The sequence below is a fragment of the Homo sapiens genome, chromosome 4 (assembly GCF_000001405.40).
Source record: "Homo sapiens chromosome 4, GRCh38.p14 Primary Assembly".
NCBI lineage: Eukaryota > Metazoa > Chordata > Mammalia > Primates > Hominidae > Homo > Homo sapiens.
This window is the reverse complement of record NC_000004.12, coordinates 70,195,368-70,215,953: the sequence shown is the minus strand read 5'-3', so window position 1 is coordinate 70,215,953 and position 20,586 is coordinate 70,195,368. Positions and strand designations below refer to the sequence as shown.

The following is a 20,586-nucleotide window of genomic DNA, read 5'->3' as shown; positions in this document are numbered from 1 at the left end:
ATTTCATTTTATTCTCAATTCCAGAGACAATTCCCTTTACAGATGAAAATTGAAACTCAGAAAGCCTGATTTGTCCACTTACAACTAATAAAGAGGAAGATTTAAATATCTAAACACAGTCTCATCAGTGAAATCTACAGTTCTTCCTAACTCATTTAGCTTGGAGCTATCCATCCTTGACTTCATTATTCCTACTGCCTCGTGGTGGCTAGAACTTTAGTAACAGGATAGTCTCAGATTTAGGCAACAACCTCCTGGCTTCATCAGAACTACCTATGAGCCAACACAAATGGGAGCCAAAGATCAAGAAAGCAAAAAGTGCTCACTAGAATCCAGTTCTATACAGGAAATACGTACCAGCATAAGAAATGTATAGCTTATTTTTGTTGGGTTTTTCTATCAGAGTACTTTTCTGAAGAAAAATAATACAAACCTTCCACAAATCCAGAGTTGACAGCTTCACCTTGAAAATGAACCACAAAAGGCATTTCAAGTGTAACTAATAACTAGAGACTGTTCAATGAAAACTGTTTATTCTCTTCCTAAATTACTCAAATTCACTTTTAAAATAATCTGTAAAGGCAGATTGTCTTGAAAAACTACCAATTTTTATTTTCTTTGAAGATAAACACGTGGCTAAGAGAGGAATATTCCTTCAACACAGCTGACAATTATTTACTATCTGCAATGTTCACAACACAACATTTAATATTATGGAGTCAACATATTAAACTAAATATTTTAAATGTCTTTAGTTATACACCAAAGGTATGAAAACTAAGTCTCATGATTTGCCTACATGTTTGCACATGGATAAGGATCAGGCTTAATTTCTGAAAATTGTAACTATTTTTTTATGTAACTGAAAAAGAATGCTTTTCATACGAAATTCTGGGATAAATATTTTCATATTGTCATATTTTTATCCATTGGTGCAAAATTAGAAACAATAGCAATGGAAAGTATTGAGCAGTTGTTCGGTGAACTCCATTATAAAAACTTTCAATTGTTCATACAAATTTGCCTTTCTTTTTCTAGATTAGAGTCCTCTGATCTTCTTATTCCTTTCAAAACACAATTCTTTCTTGTTTTTCCAAGTATATTAGGAACTAGTGAATGCATATTCTTTGAAAAACAAATGTTTATTGATTACCTTTTGTAGGGCAATAATTATGCTAGGTATCCAACACCTAAGAATTTAAAATCATCATCTTTGCCCTAATGGTGCTTATAAGCCAATGAGGAAGAAAATGTTTCAGTAAAATAATTTTCCCCAATATTTCATTTTGAAATATTTTAAACTTTCAAATGAGTAAGAATAATACACTGAGCATTTCATTTCATTTTCTAGATTGTTAGTATTCTGCCACTATTTAAATCCTTCTCTTTCCATTGAGAAATGAATTTTGTGGGTCACTAATAGAATTTAAGAGATATAAATTAGAATAGAATGAAAGACATGTAAAAAACTAGATTAAAATAGAACATATCTGAAGTAAAATTGCAAATTTCAGTATGTTCCTCATGTAAACAAGGTAAAACTTATTTTATTAAACCCTTGTCTCAGTTTTGTGTGTGTGTTTGTGTGTGTGTGTGTGTGTGTGTGCAGACTGATTTATGGTATATAATGCATTTTTTTTTTACTGTGGCTTTTGTTTTTAAATCTTTGAAAGCCACTTTAAAGACCAATATAGGGTGACTGAGGAAGATAGCTTGCAGTGGAAAAATACTGGGGACAGGGACTCTAAATAGGAGGCTACTGTAACACTTTAGGAGAGAATGAGAAACTAAACTAAGGAAAAGACAAAGAAGTGGAAGAGATTTATTCCAGGGCATTACAAGAAGGAAAAAGTAAATGACCATTTGATGTGGAAGAGAAGGCATAAGAAAAAAATAGGATGAGTCTTAGATCGATTGCTTGGATAACTGAGTGATTGATAATCATCAGGTGAGGGATTAAATAAAAGTGAGGAGCATATTAAGAGGGAGAAATAGTAAGTTAGGTTTTGAATAGGTTGGGTTTGATGTACCATCAAACTTCTAAATGGGTTATTCAGTTGGATACAGAAACAGAAAATGAAATACCACATGTCCTCACTTATTAGTGGAAGCTAAATAGTGTGTACACGTGGACATAGAATACGGAATAATACTCAGGAAAGTGGGATTGTGGGAGGGGGCGAAGGGTGAGAACTGATTGAAGGGGCATACTGTACCTTATTTGGGTGATAGTTACACTAAACATCCAGACTTATCACTACAAATATATCGATGTAGCAAAACTGGTCTTATGCCACTTAAAAATATACGAATTTTTTTTAAAAGATAATACAAAACAAAACAAAAAACAAACCTTTACAAGATCAATATGAGCAATGCAACACTCTTCAGATGAAGATGACAGAATGCAGGCTTTCTATCTTATCATTTACAAAGTCAAGCATACAGTGCAAAGCAAAACTAAAACAAAACAAAAACCGTACACATATGACAGAAGCAAGTGAATGTGACCTATACTTGAGAGCAAAATCAGTCACTATAGATTCACAGACAACCTACATATTGAAATCAGCAGATAAAAACTTCAACTAGGTTTCAGTTCCAAGATGGCTGAATAGGAAGAGCTCCGGTTTGCAGCATCCAGTGTGATCAATGCAGAAGACAGGTGATTTCTGCATTTCCAACTGAGGTACCTGATTCTTCTCATTGGGACTGGTTGGACAGTGGGTGCAGCCCACGGAGCATGAGCTGAAGCAGGGCGGGGCGTCACCTCACCTGGAAGTGCAAGGGGTCTGGGGATTTCCCTTTCCTAGTGAAGGGAAGCTGTAACAGACTAGCTGGAAAAACAGGACATTCCCTGCCCAAATACTGTGCTTTTCTCAAGGTCTTAGCAACCGGCAGACAAGATGATTATCTCCTGTGCCTGGTTCAGTGGGTCCCATGCCCACTGAGCCTAGCTAACTGCTAGCACAGCAGTCTGAGATTGCTCTGCGAGGCAGTCTGGCTGGGGGAGGGGTGTCCGCCATTGCTGAGGCTTGAGTAGGTAAACAAAGCACCGGGAAGCTTGAACTGGGTGGAGCCCACTGCAGCTCAACAAGGCCTACTGCCTCTAGAATCTACCTGTGTGGGCAGGGCATAGCTGAACAAAAGGCAGCAGACAACTTCTGCAGACTTAAAGATCCCTGTCTGACAGCTCTGAAGAGAGCAGTGGTTCTCCCAGCACGGCATATGAGCTCTGAGACCAGACAGACTGCCTCCTCAAGTGGGTCCCTGACCCCTGTGTAACCTAACTGGGAGACACCTCCTAGTAGGGGCTGACAGACACCTCATATAGGTGGCTGCCCCTCTGGGACAAAGCTTCCAGAGGAACGATCAGGCAGTAATATTTGCTGATCTGCAACATTTGCTGTTCTGCAGCCTCCACTGATGATACCCAGGCAAACAGGGTCTGGAGTGGACCTACAGCCAACTCCAACAGACCTGCAACTGAGGGACCTGACTGTTAGAAGGAAAACTAACAAACATAAAGGAATAGCATCAACATCAACAAAAAGGAAATCCACACCAAAACCCCATCTGTAGGTCACCATCATCAAAGACCAAAGGTAGATAAAACCACAAAGATGGGGAGAAACCAGAGCAGAAAAGGTGAAAATTCTAAAAATCAGAGTGCCTCTTCTCCTCCAAAGGATTGCAGCTCCTTTCCAGCAATGGAACAAAGCTGGATGGAGAATGGCTTTGACAAGTTGACAGAGTAGGCTTCAGAAGATAACAACTTCAGGTAATAACAAACTTCTCCGAGCTAAAGGAGGATGTTTGAACCCATCACAAAGAAGCTAAAAACCTAGAGAAAAGATTAGATGAATGGCTAACTGGAATAAACAGTGTAGACAAGACCTTAAATGACCTGATGGAGCTGAAAACCATGGCACGAGAACTTTGTGATGCACGCACAAGCTTCAATAGCCGATTTGATCAAGTGGAAGAAAGGGTATCAGTGATTGAAGATCAAATGAATGAAAAAAGTGAGGAGACAAGGTTAGAGAAAAAAGAGTAAAAATAAATGAATAAAGCCTCCAAGAAATATGGGACTATGTGAAAAGACCAAATCTATATCTGATTGGTGTACCTGAAAGTGATGGGGAGAATGGAACCAAGTTGGAAAACACTTTTCAGGGTATTATTGAGGAGAACTTCCTCAACCTAGAGACGTAGGCCAACATTCAAATTCAGGAAATACAGAGAACACCTCAAAGATACTCCTAGAGAAGAGCAACCCCAAGACACATAATTGTCAGATTCACCAAAGTTGAAATGAAGGAAAAAGTGTTAAGGGCAGCCAGAGAGAAAGGTCAAGTTACCCACAAAGGGAAGCCCATCAGACTAACAACAGGTCTCTCAGCAGAAACACTACAAGTCAGAAGAGAGTGGGGGCCAATATTCAGCACTCTTAAAGAAAAGAATTTTCAACCCAGAATTTCATATCCAGCCAAACTAAGCTTCATAAGTGAAGGAGAAATAAAATCCTTTACAGGCAAGCAAATGCTGAGAGATTTTTGTCACCACCAGGCCTGCTTTAAAGAGCTCCTGAAGGATGCACTAAACATGGAAAGAAAGAAGCAGTACCAGCCAGTGTAAAAACATGCCCAATTGTAAAGACCATTGATGCTATGAAGAAACTGCATCAATTAATGGGCAGAATAACCAGTGAACATCATAATGACAGGATCAAATTAACACATAACAATATTAACCTTAAATGTAAATGGGCTAAATACCCCAATTAAAAGACACAGACTGGCAAATTGGATAAAGAGTCAAGACCTGTCAGTGTGCTGTATTCAGGAGACCCATCTCACATGCAGAGACACACATAGGCTCAAAATAAAGGGATGGAGGAAGATCTACCAAGCAAATGGAAAGCAAAGAAAAGCAGGAGTTGCAATTCTAGTCTCTGATAAAACAGACTTTAAACCAACAAAGATCAAAAGAGACAAAGAAGGCCATTATATAATGATAAAGGGATCAATTCAATAAGAAGAACTAACTATCCTAAATATATATGCACCCAATACAGGAGCATCCTGATTCATAAAGCAAGTCCTTAGAGACCTACAAAGAGACTTAGACTCCCACACAATAATAATGGGAGACTTTAACACCCCACTGTCAATATTAGACAGATCAATGAGACATAAAATTAACAAGGATATACGGGACCTCAACTCAGCTCTGCACCAAACAGACCTAATAGACATCTACAGAACTCTCCACCCCAAATCAACAGAATATACATTCTTCTCAGCACCACATCACACTTATTCTAAAATTGACCACATAATTGGAAGTAAAGCACTCCTCAGCAAATGTAAAAGAACAGAAATTATAACAAACTGTCTCTCAGACCACAGTACAATCAAATTAGAACTCAGGATTAAGAAACTCACTCAAAACCACACAACTATGTGGAAACTGAACAACTTGCTCCTGAATGACTACTGGGTAAATAACGAAATGAAGGCAGAAATAAGGATGTTCTTTGAAACCAATGAGAAAAAAGACACAACGTACCAGAATCTCTGGGACACATTTAAAGCAGTGTGTAGAGGGAAATTTATAGCACTAAATCCCCACAAGAGAAAGCAGGAAAGATCTAAAATCAGGACCCTAACATCAAAATTAAAGGAAGTAGAGAAGCAAGAGCAAACAAATTCAAAAGCTAGCAGAAGGCAAGAAATAACTAAGATCAGAGCAGAACTGAAAGAGATAGACACTTAAAAAAACTCTTCAAAAAAGTAATGAATCCAGGAGCTGGTTTTTGAAAAGATCAACAAAATTGATAGACTTCCAGCAAGACTAATAAAGAAGAAAAAAGAGAAGAATCAAATAGACGCAATAAAAAATGATAAAGGGATATCACCACCGATCTCACAGAAATACAATCTACCATCACAGAATGCTATAAACACCTCTACGCAAATAAACTAGAAAATCTAGAAGAAAAGGATAAATTCCTCGACACATACACTCTCCCAAGACTAAACCAGGAAGAAGTTGAATCTCTGAATAGACCAACAACAGGCTCTGAAATTGAGGCAATAATTAACAGCCTACTAACCAAAAAAAGTCCAGGAGCAGATGGATTCACAACCGAATTCTACCAGAGGTACAAAGAGGAGCTGGTACCATTCCTTCCAATCAATAGAAAAAGTGGGAACCCTCCCTAACTCATTTTATGAAGCCAGCATCATTCTGATACCAAAGTCTGGCAAAGACACAACAAAAAAAGAGAATTTTAGACCAATATCCCTGATGAACATCGATGCAAAAAACCTCAGTAAAATAGTGGCAAACCAAATCTAGCAGCACATGAAAAAGCTTATCCACCACGATCAAGTGGGCTTCATTCCTGGGATGCAAGGCTGGTTCAACATATGAAAATCAATAAATGTAATCCATCACATAAACAGAACCAATGACAAAAACCAAATGATTATCTCAATAGATGCAGAAAAGGCCTTCAACAAAATTCAACAGCCCTTCATGCTAAAAACTCAATAAACTAGGTATTGATGGAACGTATCTCAAAATAACAAGAGCTATTTATGACAAGCTCACAGAGAATATCATACTGAATGGGTAAAAACTGGAAGCATTCCCTTTGAAAATCGGCAAAAGAAAAGGATGCCGTCTCTCACCACTCCTATTCAACATAGTGTTGGAAGTTTTGGCCAGGGCAATCAGGCAAGAGAAAGACATAAAGGGTATTGAATTAGGAAATGAGGAAGTCAAATTGTTCCTGTTTGCAGATGACATGATTGTATATTTAGAAAACTCCATCATCTCAGCCCCAAATCTCCTTAAGCTGATAAGCAATTTCAGCAAAGTCTCAGGATATAGAATCAATGTACAAAAATCACAAGCATTCTTATACACCATTAACAGACAAACAGAGAGCCAAATCATGAGTGAACGCCCATTCATAATTGCTACAAATAGAATAAAATACCTAGGAATCCAACTTACAAGGGATGTGAAGGACCTCTTCAAGGAGAACTACAAACCACTGCTCAACAAAATAAAAGAAGACACAAACAAATGGAAGCATATTCCATGCTTATGGGTAAGAAGAATCAATATCGTGAAAATGGCCATACTGCCCAAGGTCATTTATAGATTCAATGCCATCCTCACCAAGCTACCAATGACTTTCTTCACAGAATTGGAAAAAACTGCTTTAAAGTTCCTATGGAATGAAAAAAGAGCCTGCGTTGCCAAGACAATCCTAAGCAAAAGAACAAAGCTGGAGGCATCACTACCTGACTTTATACTATAAGGCTACAGTAACCAAAACAGCATGGTACTGGTACCAAAACAGAGATATAGACCAATGGAACAGAACAGAGGCCTCAGAAATAATGCCACACATCTACAACCATCTGATCTTTGACAAACCTGTCAAAAACGAGAAATGGGGAAAGGATTCCCTATTTAATAAATTGTGCTGGGAAAACTAGCTAGCCATAAGTAGAAAACTGAAACTGGATCCCTCCCTTACACCTTATACAAAATTAATTCAAGATGGATTAAAGACTTACATGTTAGACCTAAAACCATAAGAACCCTAGAAGAAAACCTAGGCAATACCATTCAGGACATAGGCATGGGCAAGGACTTCATGACTAAAACACCAAAAGCAATGGCAACAAAAGCTAAAATAGACAAATGGGATCTAATTAAACTAAAGAGCTTCTGCACGGCAAAAGAAACTACCATCAGAGTGAACAAGCAACTTACAGAATGGGAGAAAATTTTTGCAGTCTACCCATCCTACAAAGTGCTAATATCCAGAATCTACAAAGAACTCAAACAAATTACAAGAAAAACACAAACAACCCCATCAAAAAGTGGGCAAAGTGTGTGAATAGACACTTCCCAAAAGAAGACATCTATGCAGCCAACAGACACATGAAAAAATGCTCATCATCACTGATCATCAGAGAAATGCAAATCAAAACCTCAATGCGGTATCATCTCATGCCAGTTAGAATGGCAATCATTAACAAGTCAGAAAACAACAGATGCTGGGGAGGATGTGGAGAAATAGGAATGCTTTTACACTGTTGGTGAGAGTGTAAATTGGTTCAACCATTGTGTAAGACAGTGTGGCGATTCCTCAAGGATCTAGAACTAGAATTACCATTTGACCCAGCAATCCCATTACTGGGTATATACCCGAAGAATTTTAAATCATGCTACTATAAAGACACATGCACATGTATGTTTATTTGGCACTATTCACGATAGCAAAGACTTGGAACCAACCCAAACATCCATCAATGATAGACTGGATTAAGAAAATGTGGCACATATACACCATGGAATACTATACAGCCATAAAAAGGATGAGTTCATGTCCTTTGTAGGGACATGGATGAAGCTGGAAACCATCTTTTTCAGCAAACTATTGCAAGAACAGAAAACCAAACACCACATGTTCTCCCTCATAGGTGGGAATTGAACAATGTGATCACTTGGACACAGAGTGGGGAACATCACACACTGGGGCCTGTCGTGGGGTAGGGGGCTGAGGGAGGGATAACATTAGGAGGAATACCTAATGTAAATGATGAGTTGATGGGTACAGCAAACCAACGTGGCACATGTATACCTATATATCAAACCTGCACGTTGTGCACATGTACCCTAGAACTTAAAGTGTAATAATAGTAAAAAAATACACTTCAACTAGAATAAACATGCTAGAAGATTGATAGGAATATGCTGAGTATATCGAGTGATGAGTTAGAAAATTTCTGGAACTATAAGAAAACTGTTAAAAATTAAATAAAAATCCTAAACTTAAAATTTAAAAAAACTGGATGTATTTATTAGATGATATTAGTAGCAGAAGCAGATTGGCTCTAATAGAAGAAAGGATCTGTGAAGTTGAAGGTAAATGGAAATTTTCAAACTGAAGTGCTCAGAAAATATAAATCAACAAAGGCTCAATGACCTAAGAAATAGTGTCAATTAATCCAATATACATGGAATTGGAGTTGTAAGAATGAGAGAAGAGAAAAAAACGAAACAGAAAAATAGTCAAAGAAGTACTGATGAAACTTTTCCTATTTTTATCAAAACCAATATGCAGATTCAGAAAGCAAAGTGCACACCTAATATGATTCCTACAAAATTAGCCAGCCACACTTAACTCTCCTCGAGTCAAACTGCTGGACATGAAAGGGACAGAGAAAGTCATAAAAACAGCTCTAGAAAAAGATACACTGCATACAGGGGAATGTCAATAGGAATGGCAGGTGACTTTTTATTGAAACCATTAGAGGCCAGAAGATAATGTTAGAACAATTTTCAAGTGTGGAAAGAAAAAAAGTCAGTCAACTTAGAATTTTATATTAAAAAATATCTATAAAATGTGGGCATAATAAAGGCATTTTTTGATAAATAAAAATGGGGGAATTTATAGCAATCAGATGCAAACTAAATAAATTTTGGAGACATTTCTTTATATAAAAGGGAAATTATAGTGGATGAAATCTCAGACGTATAGGAAGGAAGAACACTGAAATTGGTAAATATGTAAGTAAATATATTTTTTCTTTTAAAAATTATTTAAAAGTTATACGTAGCAGTAGTACACTTCAAAAAACATGTTATACTAATGACTGATAAGTGTAGAAACAAATATAACACAATTAGTCATCAGGATAATGCAAATTTAAACCATGAGATGCCTCTTTGAACATTTTAAAATAAAACACGGAATCCAGAACTATTTAATAGATGAGACTATAAATATGCTGAGATACAGATTTAGGAGCCAGTACCTTTTTATAAATCCTATTAAAGTCAAAATGGAAATGTTCATGTAGCAATTTAAAAAAAATCGATGCAGCGATTTTTTGAGAGAGAGGAGAAAAGAGGACTGAGGTCAACCTGTATGAAGGTTAACATTTAAGGGATGTGTGACAAAAGAGGAATTTATAAAAACAATTTTAAGAAAGGACAATTCTATAATAATTGTGGGCCAGAAGTGAGAGGAACTGGAATTCTTATTCACTCCTAATAAGGGTATAAAATGGAACAGCCACATTAGAAACTATTTAGCAGTCTCTCATAACATATACATATCCTTTGAGTTAGAGCTGTGTCTTGGTATTTACTTAAGAGATATGAAAACATGTGTTTACAAAAAGTGTACAAGAATGTTCACTGCAGCTTTATTTCTGATATTCAATAATTGGAAACAACTCAAATGTTCAACAATAGGAGAATGGATAAAGAAAATGACATATATTAATGCAATGTGGTATACCACTTAAGCAATAACATGAATGAATCACAAAAGCATTATGTTGAATAAAAGAAACCAGACATGAAAGAATACATCATGTATGATTTAATTTATATAAAAACCCAGAATAGGCTAAATTAATATGTGTTGATTGAAATATGAAAATAGTTGCTTGGCATGAGAGTGGGGAGACTAAATTGATTGGAGAAGAGTATGAAAGAAGTTTATGGGGTGTTGGAGATGTTCTGTATCTTAATGGGGTGATGGTTACAAGATATATACATTTTTCACACTACACACTTAAAATGTCTTCATTTGAAAGTATTACTCTATTAGGCTATGATGACAGATTGAATATAGATGTATGGAGGAGTTGAAGTCATGTATGGATTCTATACTTCATTCTTTTTTAAAAATTTTACTTTAAGTTCTGATACATGTGCAGAGCATGCAGGTTTTTTGCATAAGTATACATGTGCCATGGTGGTTTGCTGCACCTATCAACCTGTCATCTAAGTTTTAAGCCCCACATGCATTAGGCATTTGTCCTAATGCTCTCCCCTCTCCTTGCTTCCCACCCCCAACAGGCCCCTGTGTGTGATGTTCCCCTCCCTGTGTCCATGTGTTCTCATTATTCAACTCCCACTTATGAGTGAGAACACGTGGTGTTTGGTTTTCTGTTCCTGTGTTAGTCTATATTTTATTCTTGAACTAATGCTGTTTTATTTAGATAGGAAACATCCAGTGGAGAATAGTTGGTAGGGAAAGTTTTGAGAATTACCAAATGTAAGCAAAGCTGATTTTAGAGAAATTATTCTAGATTGAAAGCCAGATCTGATGAAACCCAAAATCTCCACCTTATTCTCTACAGGATGCTGCCTCCCCCAAACAAGCATACACTTTCCTATCCTTTTGAGTAAGGACAGACACCTCTCTATGTGACTGTGTCATATTAGGAATAAGCACTTTATGATATCTGCCACCAAATAATTTTGATTGTCATGAGAATGTCTCAGGAGGAAACTGACTAAATGGACCTTAGGGAAATGAAGAGATGACATGTCAAATCTAGATACTTATTTTACTTCATCAGTTCCAATCACAACACTCATCATACATCCAATGACAATATACATATCTTCATGGGTACTACCATTTTGCAGAGGCATCATTTACTAATGCAATTATCCAATTGATTTAATGATACTAGCTTTATTCTGTGTTATTATATTCCATATTATACAATGATAGGATATTTGAAGAGACATATAATTTTGTAAGACAAGACTCATTACATGATTGTATTATTTTCTATGACATATTTAAAGAGTTTAATAACATGTATAAGTAAAAACAAATTTAGGAGAAGAGTCAAGATATTTCATGTATTCCAAAGAACTGATACTAGTATTGAGGAAGCTAATAGCCTAAAATTATATCCAAGGCATGGCCACATCTTTTTCCCTGAAAAATATAATAGAAAAGCATTTTAATATCATTGGACTGCTTTGCATAAAACATCCTAGATATCTTACAAATTGCTTATTAAAGAAATAGAAAGCTTTTCTTTCACTGGCATTCATACATACAGAAAAAAGGTCATAAAAATACTGAAATCTCTTTAGTATTTCTTACTGAATAACTTGATTTGCCTTGTACAATATAGTACATTAGTAAGGAGGCTTTCCTAAAGAGGTATTATTACTGTTCACTTGGTTGTGTTTTTATAAACTTTTTTCATCTGAAGAATGCTGCGTGCTCATTTTTATGGAAGGAGAGATCAAAAGAGGCTCACAGGCAGCAGGGAGGAGATTTCAAAAACTTTGTCTTTTAGTTTGCCCTTCAAGTTAAATTGTTTGCTTTTCAGTGTGTGTTTTTACTTTTTGGTGCTGTTCCCAGACTGCCCTTCTATCAAACTCCTATTGTGGCCTCATAGCCAACCAAGCTGATTAAAACAGGTAATTAGTTCAAGATTATGTCTGATATAAAAGTCATGGAATTTGAAATTTTCTTTTCATTGTACAATTTCTTTATCATTTTGAGATTTTTACTTAATTTCAAACTAATACAGATATATTGGAATTATTACAATGTTTACTTGCAAAATGAAATGATGATTTGGGAGAATTGATTCTGTATGGAGTGTCTATAGAATGTCTTTTACAATGGACCTAGAATATCTAGTATTTGTGTTTTCAGAGAGTATACCAAACTTATAGGCAGACATGATTCTCAAAATTTAATTTTGTTTTTAAAAATTGTTGAAGTCCATAATTATTATTAATTTTATAGGTATATATAGCTAACTTGTTTTTATAACTACTTTGGTAAGAACTCCATTAGCTCCTCTGCCAACTTTTTTCTTTTGTCTTCTTATGTAGGAATTGTCGTGGCACCTAATTCTTGACTTTGGCAAATACCTACCAAAATGTCTGAATGATCAGGGCAACTTCTTATGGTTCCCTTAGGCTGTCAGTCTTGTCCTAGTGAGAAAAGGACATTCATAAGAAACTGTTATTAAATTGAAATTAAATTATATTCTGATTAATTGATTATCAAAAACAAGTTTTGGCCACCTTATTCAGAGTTAAGACCACATATTTTTCATTAGTTATCTTCTTAATTTCATGACTAAGTCCTATAAATTAAAGCACTAATTTTATCACTGTATTTTTTCATTAGACAATTTTTTTGCATAAAGTGAAGTTTTCATGACTCTACCTTCTCTTCTGGGAGCTCTGGGGTAATAGTTTGGTCTACAGCAGAAGTGAAAACATTGGTTGTGCTGGGTTTTGGTGAAGTTGAGGGCATGAAAACTCCTGCACTGTCATGTCTAAAGTTGATCGCTTCTTTTTGTAAATATGGTATCTCTTCTCCTGTTGACTACAGAGAATGAGAATGAAAACAAAGTTGTCGTAAGTTCAACAAGAAGGCCAAAATTGGGAAGAATGTAAAGCAACAGGATTGAGATGTAACAAAAGCATTATATTAAAAAAAGAGTTGCTATTATTAGTATTTTTAGATTATAAGCTACATAAAAGACCATGAATATATACCAGCAAACATTGTCTCTTAATATCTGCTTTTAAATAAAGGTGCATCAAAGAGTACCTGGCATAGCATACTTAAAAATACTGATGAACTGAGTAAGAGTGAACTGAATCTTTACTGGCAAAATATTGTAAGAAGAAGAAGAAGCAAAAATTATTGATGGAATTACAACAGAGTTGATATTAAAATGAACATTAGTGCAGTAAGTTGTCAATTGTTGATTTCCAGTAGCTGGCAAAGTGTTGTAAGGAATCTTACCATCACAGCAATTTCAGGAGCTGTGCCTAGTTGGGGATCAAAAGCTAGTTGCTGCTGTCCTCCTGATATAGCCTAAAAACACAAAAAGTTTTAAAAAGTCTAAATCAGTGATCGTTGAAAATATGCTCTTTGGCCACCCAGAGTACCAGAGTAGTAAAACACTCCCAAACTTCTTAAATTATTTTGCTAAAAACAGAAATAATAGTTTAATTTTTGCTATTAGAGAACTGGCTTGACATCTCGCCTCTGCTTCTGTTCTGAAAGTGCTACTTTCTAACATTCTCTACTAGGACCAGGTACTTACCTGTTGAGCATAAAGAATTCTACAGAACACCAACATCAGAAGGGGTGGAAAAAACAAGACAATTTCAAAATTTTGTCTGAAGTAAGGTCACCATACAAGTTACGAAAATACCAGGTGTTCTCACATCTTGGCTAATATGAGCGACTGATGCTTCTTTACCCATTAAAGCTTTCACCTTGCTCCACTATCCTTGCCTTAGAGAAATGAGCTTTTAAAATAATCATAGAGCTACCCTACTTTTGAGAATAGCCACTGCAGAGTGAACAACCACTTCTTTGCAATCTTCCCCAAATTACCTAAAAGAAGCCCAAATCATGTGAGAAGTCATTCTAATACTTTCCTATTAAGACACCCAAGAATCCCCACGTGTGTGTTCTCCTCCTTGTACTGAGTGGATACATACAATTTTGTTCAATTAGAGGTGCGCTCCTGGTCATCTTTGGCTGAAGGGCATTGATAGATTTAGTAGACAATGAAGGAAGTAGTTTCAAAATATTTTTAATGAAAAATATGCATTTACTTACAGGTTCTGCTAGTTGTGGAATGTATCCAAATTGAGCATAGAATGGTATCTGTCAGATTTTTTAAAAAATGTATTATATTTTCTGTGATTATTCTTGTCGTAAGTTTGCAGTAAATGATTACTTAAACTTATATATCTTTTTATATAAGTTAAAAGCATTTTTAAAGTTTATATGTTCCAGTAACTAAAAATTAATTATTGTTAAATTAACAAGAATCTTTTTAATACCATATCATTTCTAGGATAAAACTCTCTCTTTCCCTTTAAAGCAACATGACAATTAGAATTAATACTACCAGTTTTTTAAAGCATAATTCTGAGTTTTCTCTAATTTGTAATGCCAGGTTTTAGAGTTATGATTAAACTAAAAAAAAGACATTTTCATTCTAACAGGAAGGATGTTAATAATATATGAGCCACCTGAATTTATGTTAGAATTCTAAAAATTTATTGCAGTTTCACAAAATTTAATATAATGGTATCTAATTGTATCTCAAAATCCAGTGATCAGATATATCTTTCATCAAGGTAGCTAATATTTTTGCCATTTATTATTTTTAAATAGTAACCACACACACATATGTGGAAAGGTGGATGCTAGTAAATTTTAAATGTGAGAAAACTTCACTTTTCGAGGTTATTCAGCTTTTTGGCCTTGATTCTATTGAAGTCCACTTACTGATTTCATTGGCTAAAAATCCAGCCCTGGAATATTACCAAATAAGTTTACACAAATGATTTATAGCCGAGAACACTATACCTACCCTCTTATGCCTACCTGTTTCATGCTGTTGAGTGTTTGCATTAAATATACTCAGAAACTTTTTTTCTATGGTAATATACCTTATTTTCTCTATTTTCAAGTGGAACTAGTAGGATTAAAATAAAACATTTGCAGTACCTGCTCCTCATACTGTTGCTGTCTTGTTTGTTGAGGTGACCTTGGAACTGTTTGCTGAGGTTGTTCCCAGGGTAGGACCATGTAAACTGGATAGTATTGAAACATCTACTTGTAAAAAGAGAAGGATACAAGAGATTCCATTAAATCAGCATAGGACATACTTTTTATCTTCTAATGTCAATTTTATTTAAAAGCTGTTTTATGTCTAGCAGCTTTATATGATTAAATACAAAGCAAATAGATGAAGAATCCCTTCCCAAACTTTGGAAACAACTTGTATCCCAGGTAATACTGGACTTGGTTTTTAAGGTTGCTTGGGCAAACACATTTAGGAAATAGTGGGTTGAACTAAGCAGAAGAGCTTTTTTTTTTTTTCAAAGGACATCTTAGAAACTTTATATACAAATTACTTTGCAAATACCTAAGTGAAAGATAGCCTATGTAGCACTTACCCTATATTTTTGAGAATCATCATTCTGCAGAATGTGGTATTAGATGTTCTGCCATAATAAATGAAATGCTATGAATGTATTGCCTTTAAGAATTGCTACTTTATTAAAATAATCCATATATATTTTAGGATATTTGGTAAATCAAGACATAGACAAGTAACAAATGAAATCATCTGAAACTTCCCCACCTACATTACCATGTGGCTTCCATTTATATTATCATTGCCTTCTACTTATATGTCTGTGTCTGTTTATTTGTGTATGTGTTCATAGAAAATGAGAATCTTAGTACATATGTTAATTTTTGTATGCTGTTTTTATTTGCATAAAGTAAGAGATTGTATTAGACATGAAGTTAAAAAAAACAACTAGGGTTTCAGGAGGATTATATTTTGTGCAAGCATTCTTAATCCTGGCTAAGAATCAAACTCACATTTGAGCATTTTAGAAGATGACCAAACTTAACATCTATTCATGGGGTATTGATTCACTGGGGTAGGGTTCAGACGTCTGTAATTTTCAAACACCAGAGATTCTAATGTAAAGCCAGGATGGAGAGCTACTGGTTTCATGGTTAAAGGAGACAGAAGGGGTGGAGAATTATATTCCAACTCAGCTATTTACTTTCAATGGGATGAGGAATTTGATCTCATTAAGACTAGGTTTCTTGATTCTTAAGATGAAGTAATTCTAGTTATACATCTAATTCTTTAAATGCTTATGTCATAGAATGAGATAATGTCTAGAAGTAACTTTTGTTTTATAATGGGAGTGGATGTGGGACAAAGTTATTTAGTTATAATTACAGTAGAGTCAAATGCTGTAACTTTTTATGAAAAGGCCAATATTCTGTGATGAGTAATATAATTTATTTATAATACTGTTTCTTTGAACCCAGAATATTGTAAAATTAATAATCCTGATATTTATAGGGTTTTCCATATTAATATGATGATTATACTAGTTTGCATTCATTTTTAAAAGATTATCCTATTTAATGGAAAAAATTACCATTTGATTGTAATATGGATTCAAATTGGAAATGTATAAGAAGCTTAAAATGTTTTGAGCAGAATTTCATAACAGCCAAATAACATGGGCAAGTGTTTCTTATCTCTACATCATATCATATATTATCAGCTTAGTGCATCTCCTTCTGAAGCAAAATTTAAATTTGGATAAAGTCAGCCCATGGTATTTCTCTTGAGTTTTTCCCAACTTCCAGCACTTTGGATGCAGAGAGGACATGACCTGGGGCTTACTGAGCTCTTTTACTCTCAACATAGCAATGCCCTGGAAATTCAGGGGTCCTGGAGACTCTACTTAGCTGCCTGTCCTTAAGGAGTTGTTAAGTGAGCCCAACATCAACAAACTGATACTAGCCCAGCAATGATGTTATCTAGACAGTGATATCATTATATAGGTTTTTATAGCCCTGCTATAGGAGTCAGAGCTAGAAATAGAAAGCATTGTGGAGAGTGTATGTAGCCATCTCTATGGGCAGTGTTGTTATATCCATTTACCTGTCCTTGCTCTTGAGGCATTTTGAAGGAGAATACATAGGGCATCACCTGCCAAAAAAAAGAATTATATAAAAATGTATGCTTGACTTTGTTATTTAAAAATCCCTGAGCTGCTTTTCCTAGAGCTAGCCATATAAATTTATCCTTTGTGTTAACAAGTTTCCACAACAAAAAGTCATCCGTTACATGTGCTGACATAAACTGCCTATTATTGAAGTTTTCCTATCTTATCCTAGACTTGTTTTTAACTTTTTTGGCTTGTTGCTGTATCCTAGAGTAGCTGATTTAAATATTTTTTGTCTTAGAAATCAGAAAATAAAAGAAAGAACTTACAGCGATGGTAGAAACATATAATGAGAAAAAATATTGTTCAAAAACCCCTGCCTATTTCAAAGCTGATTCATATTCATTGTCAGATTAAACATGCAGTTCTCTCTCCTCAGAACAAAATGAAAGAGGCCTGACTTACGTGACTGGGGCCTGGTTGTGTCTGAGGCGGTGTTTGAAGCTGTAAGGGATCAACTTGGCCTGCCTGGGCTCCTTGGGCAAAACTGGCCTCTCCTGTTAAGGGTATCTGATTTGGGAGCAGTCCAGCAAACTGGTCTAGAGCTGATAAAGAGAACTGGGAGAGTCCTGGAATTTGAGCCTGCTGCTGCTGTTGTAAAATTCCAGAGAAAGGTGGAATCCATGAATTAAGTGGGCCCTAAAAAGACACAAAGGAAAGAAAGCATGTTCCCTTCATGCCAAAAAGAATTTAAAAATTAGTCCTGAGCAAGAAAGAGGCAAAATACAAACAATTTCTATAGTTCCAATGTTGCAACATAAAAAAGGACAGCATCTTGATTCATTTTGAACCAAGCAAATAATACGAAGCAAATGCTAAATTCCCGATGGCCATGAGAAATATGGGGCAGGATAAGGTTGATAAAAGAGCCCAACATCTGCATATGCCACACTGGTTTTAAACCGTCTGTATTTTCCCCTACCTTAACCCTAAACCTGCCAACCTGCTGTTACTGGTTAACTGGGCATGACTTTTTGTAAAATAATTACTTTTAACTATCTCATAGTTGTGAGAATTAGTGCCTGGCATATACCAAGTTCTCAATAAATAAGTGTTGTTCAAATTACAGTTTTTACTTTAATCTTCAAGCAAATGGCCACTAGAACATATGAGACAAATTCATAATGTTAAAAACTGAGATTTCCAAAATAGGATCAGGAAACATTTTGTTTTCTTACAAAATAACATAAATGAGCAATAGGTAAATATTCCCCATAAAGTAATTATTGAAATGGAGGTACCTGAAGTTGTAGTGGCAAAAGTTGACCATTATTAAGATTAAGAAGTAACTAGAAAAAGAAAAATAATATGAAATCAAGATTACTACACACTAAAATGAGTAGGAACAATGTTTACTGCAAATATAGCACAAGTCATAGCTGGTTGCTCAATTTCTTGTTAGAAGTGGGACATTTTCTCACTAGGCTTACATTAAATTACAGTGATTAGAAGTTAGATTTAAAACAAGGTTGGGATTTAACAACCTCTCCTCTGTTGGGTATGAGATTGCACAACGTTAGCACATTCCAGTGGTTTAGTCATTTTATGTTTTTAAACACCTATATACACCTGTGTGAGGTGTTATTAGAACAAAAAGATATAAACAATATTGTATCCGCCTTTGAAGAATTAACAATCAATCAAGGGAAGCAGAATAATATTTTAGAGGTAACCTGTTATATAATCAAACATGGACATTAGAAATGTGCTTGGATATACATAAAAGCTAGTGGTGAGGAACACAGTATAAATTAAATGACGACTTCTATCTCTTCCCACTTGATTTCCATTAAAAAAAGGAGGAGATTGTTTTAATTATTTAAACTAACCTCATTGCTATTGCTGGCAGACATGAGACGCTGTGGGATAAGCTAAAAGTAAAAATGAAAAAAAAATCAGAAATAGTAAAAAGAAGGGATTGTTGAAGGTTTAACACAGTGGGACTAGTAGTGCCATAAAATCACTTACTGGGGCTGACAATGTGGCTCCCAGGAATCCAAGAAGAATTATAATTTTCATTTTCGTATGATATATCTAGAAAATAAGTTGTGATCTTTAGCTTTATAAAGACATTACTTAAAATTCATGACAAAATAATTAGTATTGTTCAATCAAAGGAATAGCTGGGTGAATTCTATAGTATTTACTTACATTTTGCAATTTAAAATTTAAAAAGTTATGTTTGTAAATTTCTGATATAACTCTTTATTTTCTCTCAGACAAGCTGTTTATAAAAACCAAGATTGTTTGCTTGTCCTTTTAGCTTGAACAAAATACTCATTTGGAGACATATGATGTGGTTGAATGCATTAAAGAACAAGATGATCTCCTCCTAGTGCTGCCCTACAAGGAGAGGAGCAGGCCCATCAGACCATGGGAGGTCATGACTAAGGCTAACCAACTAGGGACTTATTACTGCAGCAATTTTAATGTCTATGTTGAAAAGTACTTCAATAGAGATTTGACAATACCAGTCCAATACCAGATAATTTCCACTTAGTAGTCTAATAACAGAATAATATACTAGAACTAAGCAACTGAGTCAATGTTTTTGTAATTTATGGCAATAGATTATAAAACTGAACTGTGATATTGATTTATGGTGTAACCTGTTTAAGTATATTTCTCTTGTCTTCTAGATGTGAAACTTTTTTCCCTGCTTCAAATCATTGACCTAATCAAGCATTTAGGGTGAACTTGATAGTCTATCCTGCAGATTTCACTGATTTTGGTTCTTCAAACTATAAAAGCAAAGATTTGATATCTTACCTTACTCCTGGACCTAAAAAGAAAAATCTGAACCATGCGAGATCTGTGTTCTTTTCCTCTCTCAGCTCTACTGCTTGGCACTTCTCTTAAATTTTAAAACTCATCTTTAGAAAAAAAGGACCAATCATTGTTCAAAAAGGACCAGTGATTCAGTGGGTTTCAGACAATGGCTTAGCTAATAACCTCTTTCCTAATCATTTAGGTGGTATATGGATTCCCACACTTTTAGTAATGTTATTAAATTATCCCCTGAGAAATGTTTTCCTGTGATCATTTCTGGCTTCTGGTTTGGTTATGAGTAATTCTCCTAGAATAATTCTCCTAGAATAATTCTATTCTACTCTTTTATAATTCTTAAACTGGATACTCTAATTGAATAAAACTGGATACTGTAACTGAATAAAAGTTAATATCTTTAATAAAGTC

At 35.1% G+C, this 20,586-nt stretch overlaps 1 protein-coding gene across 5 annotated transcripts; it reads right to left on the bottom strand.

Annotated features, from left to right (window-relative positions):
* Positions 1-11,377: 11,377 nt before the first annotated feature.
* ODAM (odontogenic, ameloblast associated) lies at positions 11,378-20,229 on the bottom strand. Of its 5 annotated transcripts, NM_017855.4 has the most exons (12): positions 20,161-20,229; positions 19,360-19,425; positions 19,221-19,262; positions 18,633-18,680; positions 17,797-18,030; positions 17,328-17,375; positions 15,353-15,457; positions 14,453-14,500; positions 13,625-13,696; positions 13,037-13,198; positions 12,740-12,798; positions 11,378-11,779 (listed from the first exon to the last, which is right to left on the bottom strand). In NM_017855.4, exons 2-11 carry the CDS (start codon positions 19,408-19,410, stop codon positions 12,769-12,771), a joined length of 840 nt encoding a protein of 279 aa, NP_060325.3. In that variant the 5' UTR covers positions 19,411-19,425; positions 20,161-20,229; the 3' UTR covers positions 11,378-11,779; positions 12,740-12,768. The 5 variants fall into 5 exon arrangements, with proteins under 5 accessions (NP_060325.3, NP_001372508.1, XP_047271820.1 ...); NM_001385579.1 differs by lacking the exon at positions 14,453-14,500; XM_047415864.1 differs by lacking the exon at positions 19,221-19,262.
* Positions 20,230-20,586: the final 357 nt, after the last annotated feature.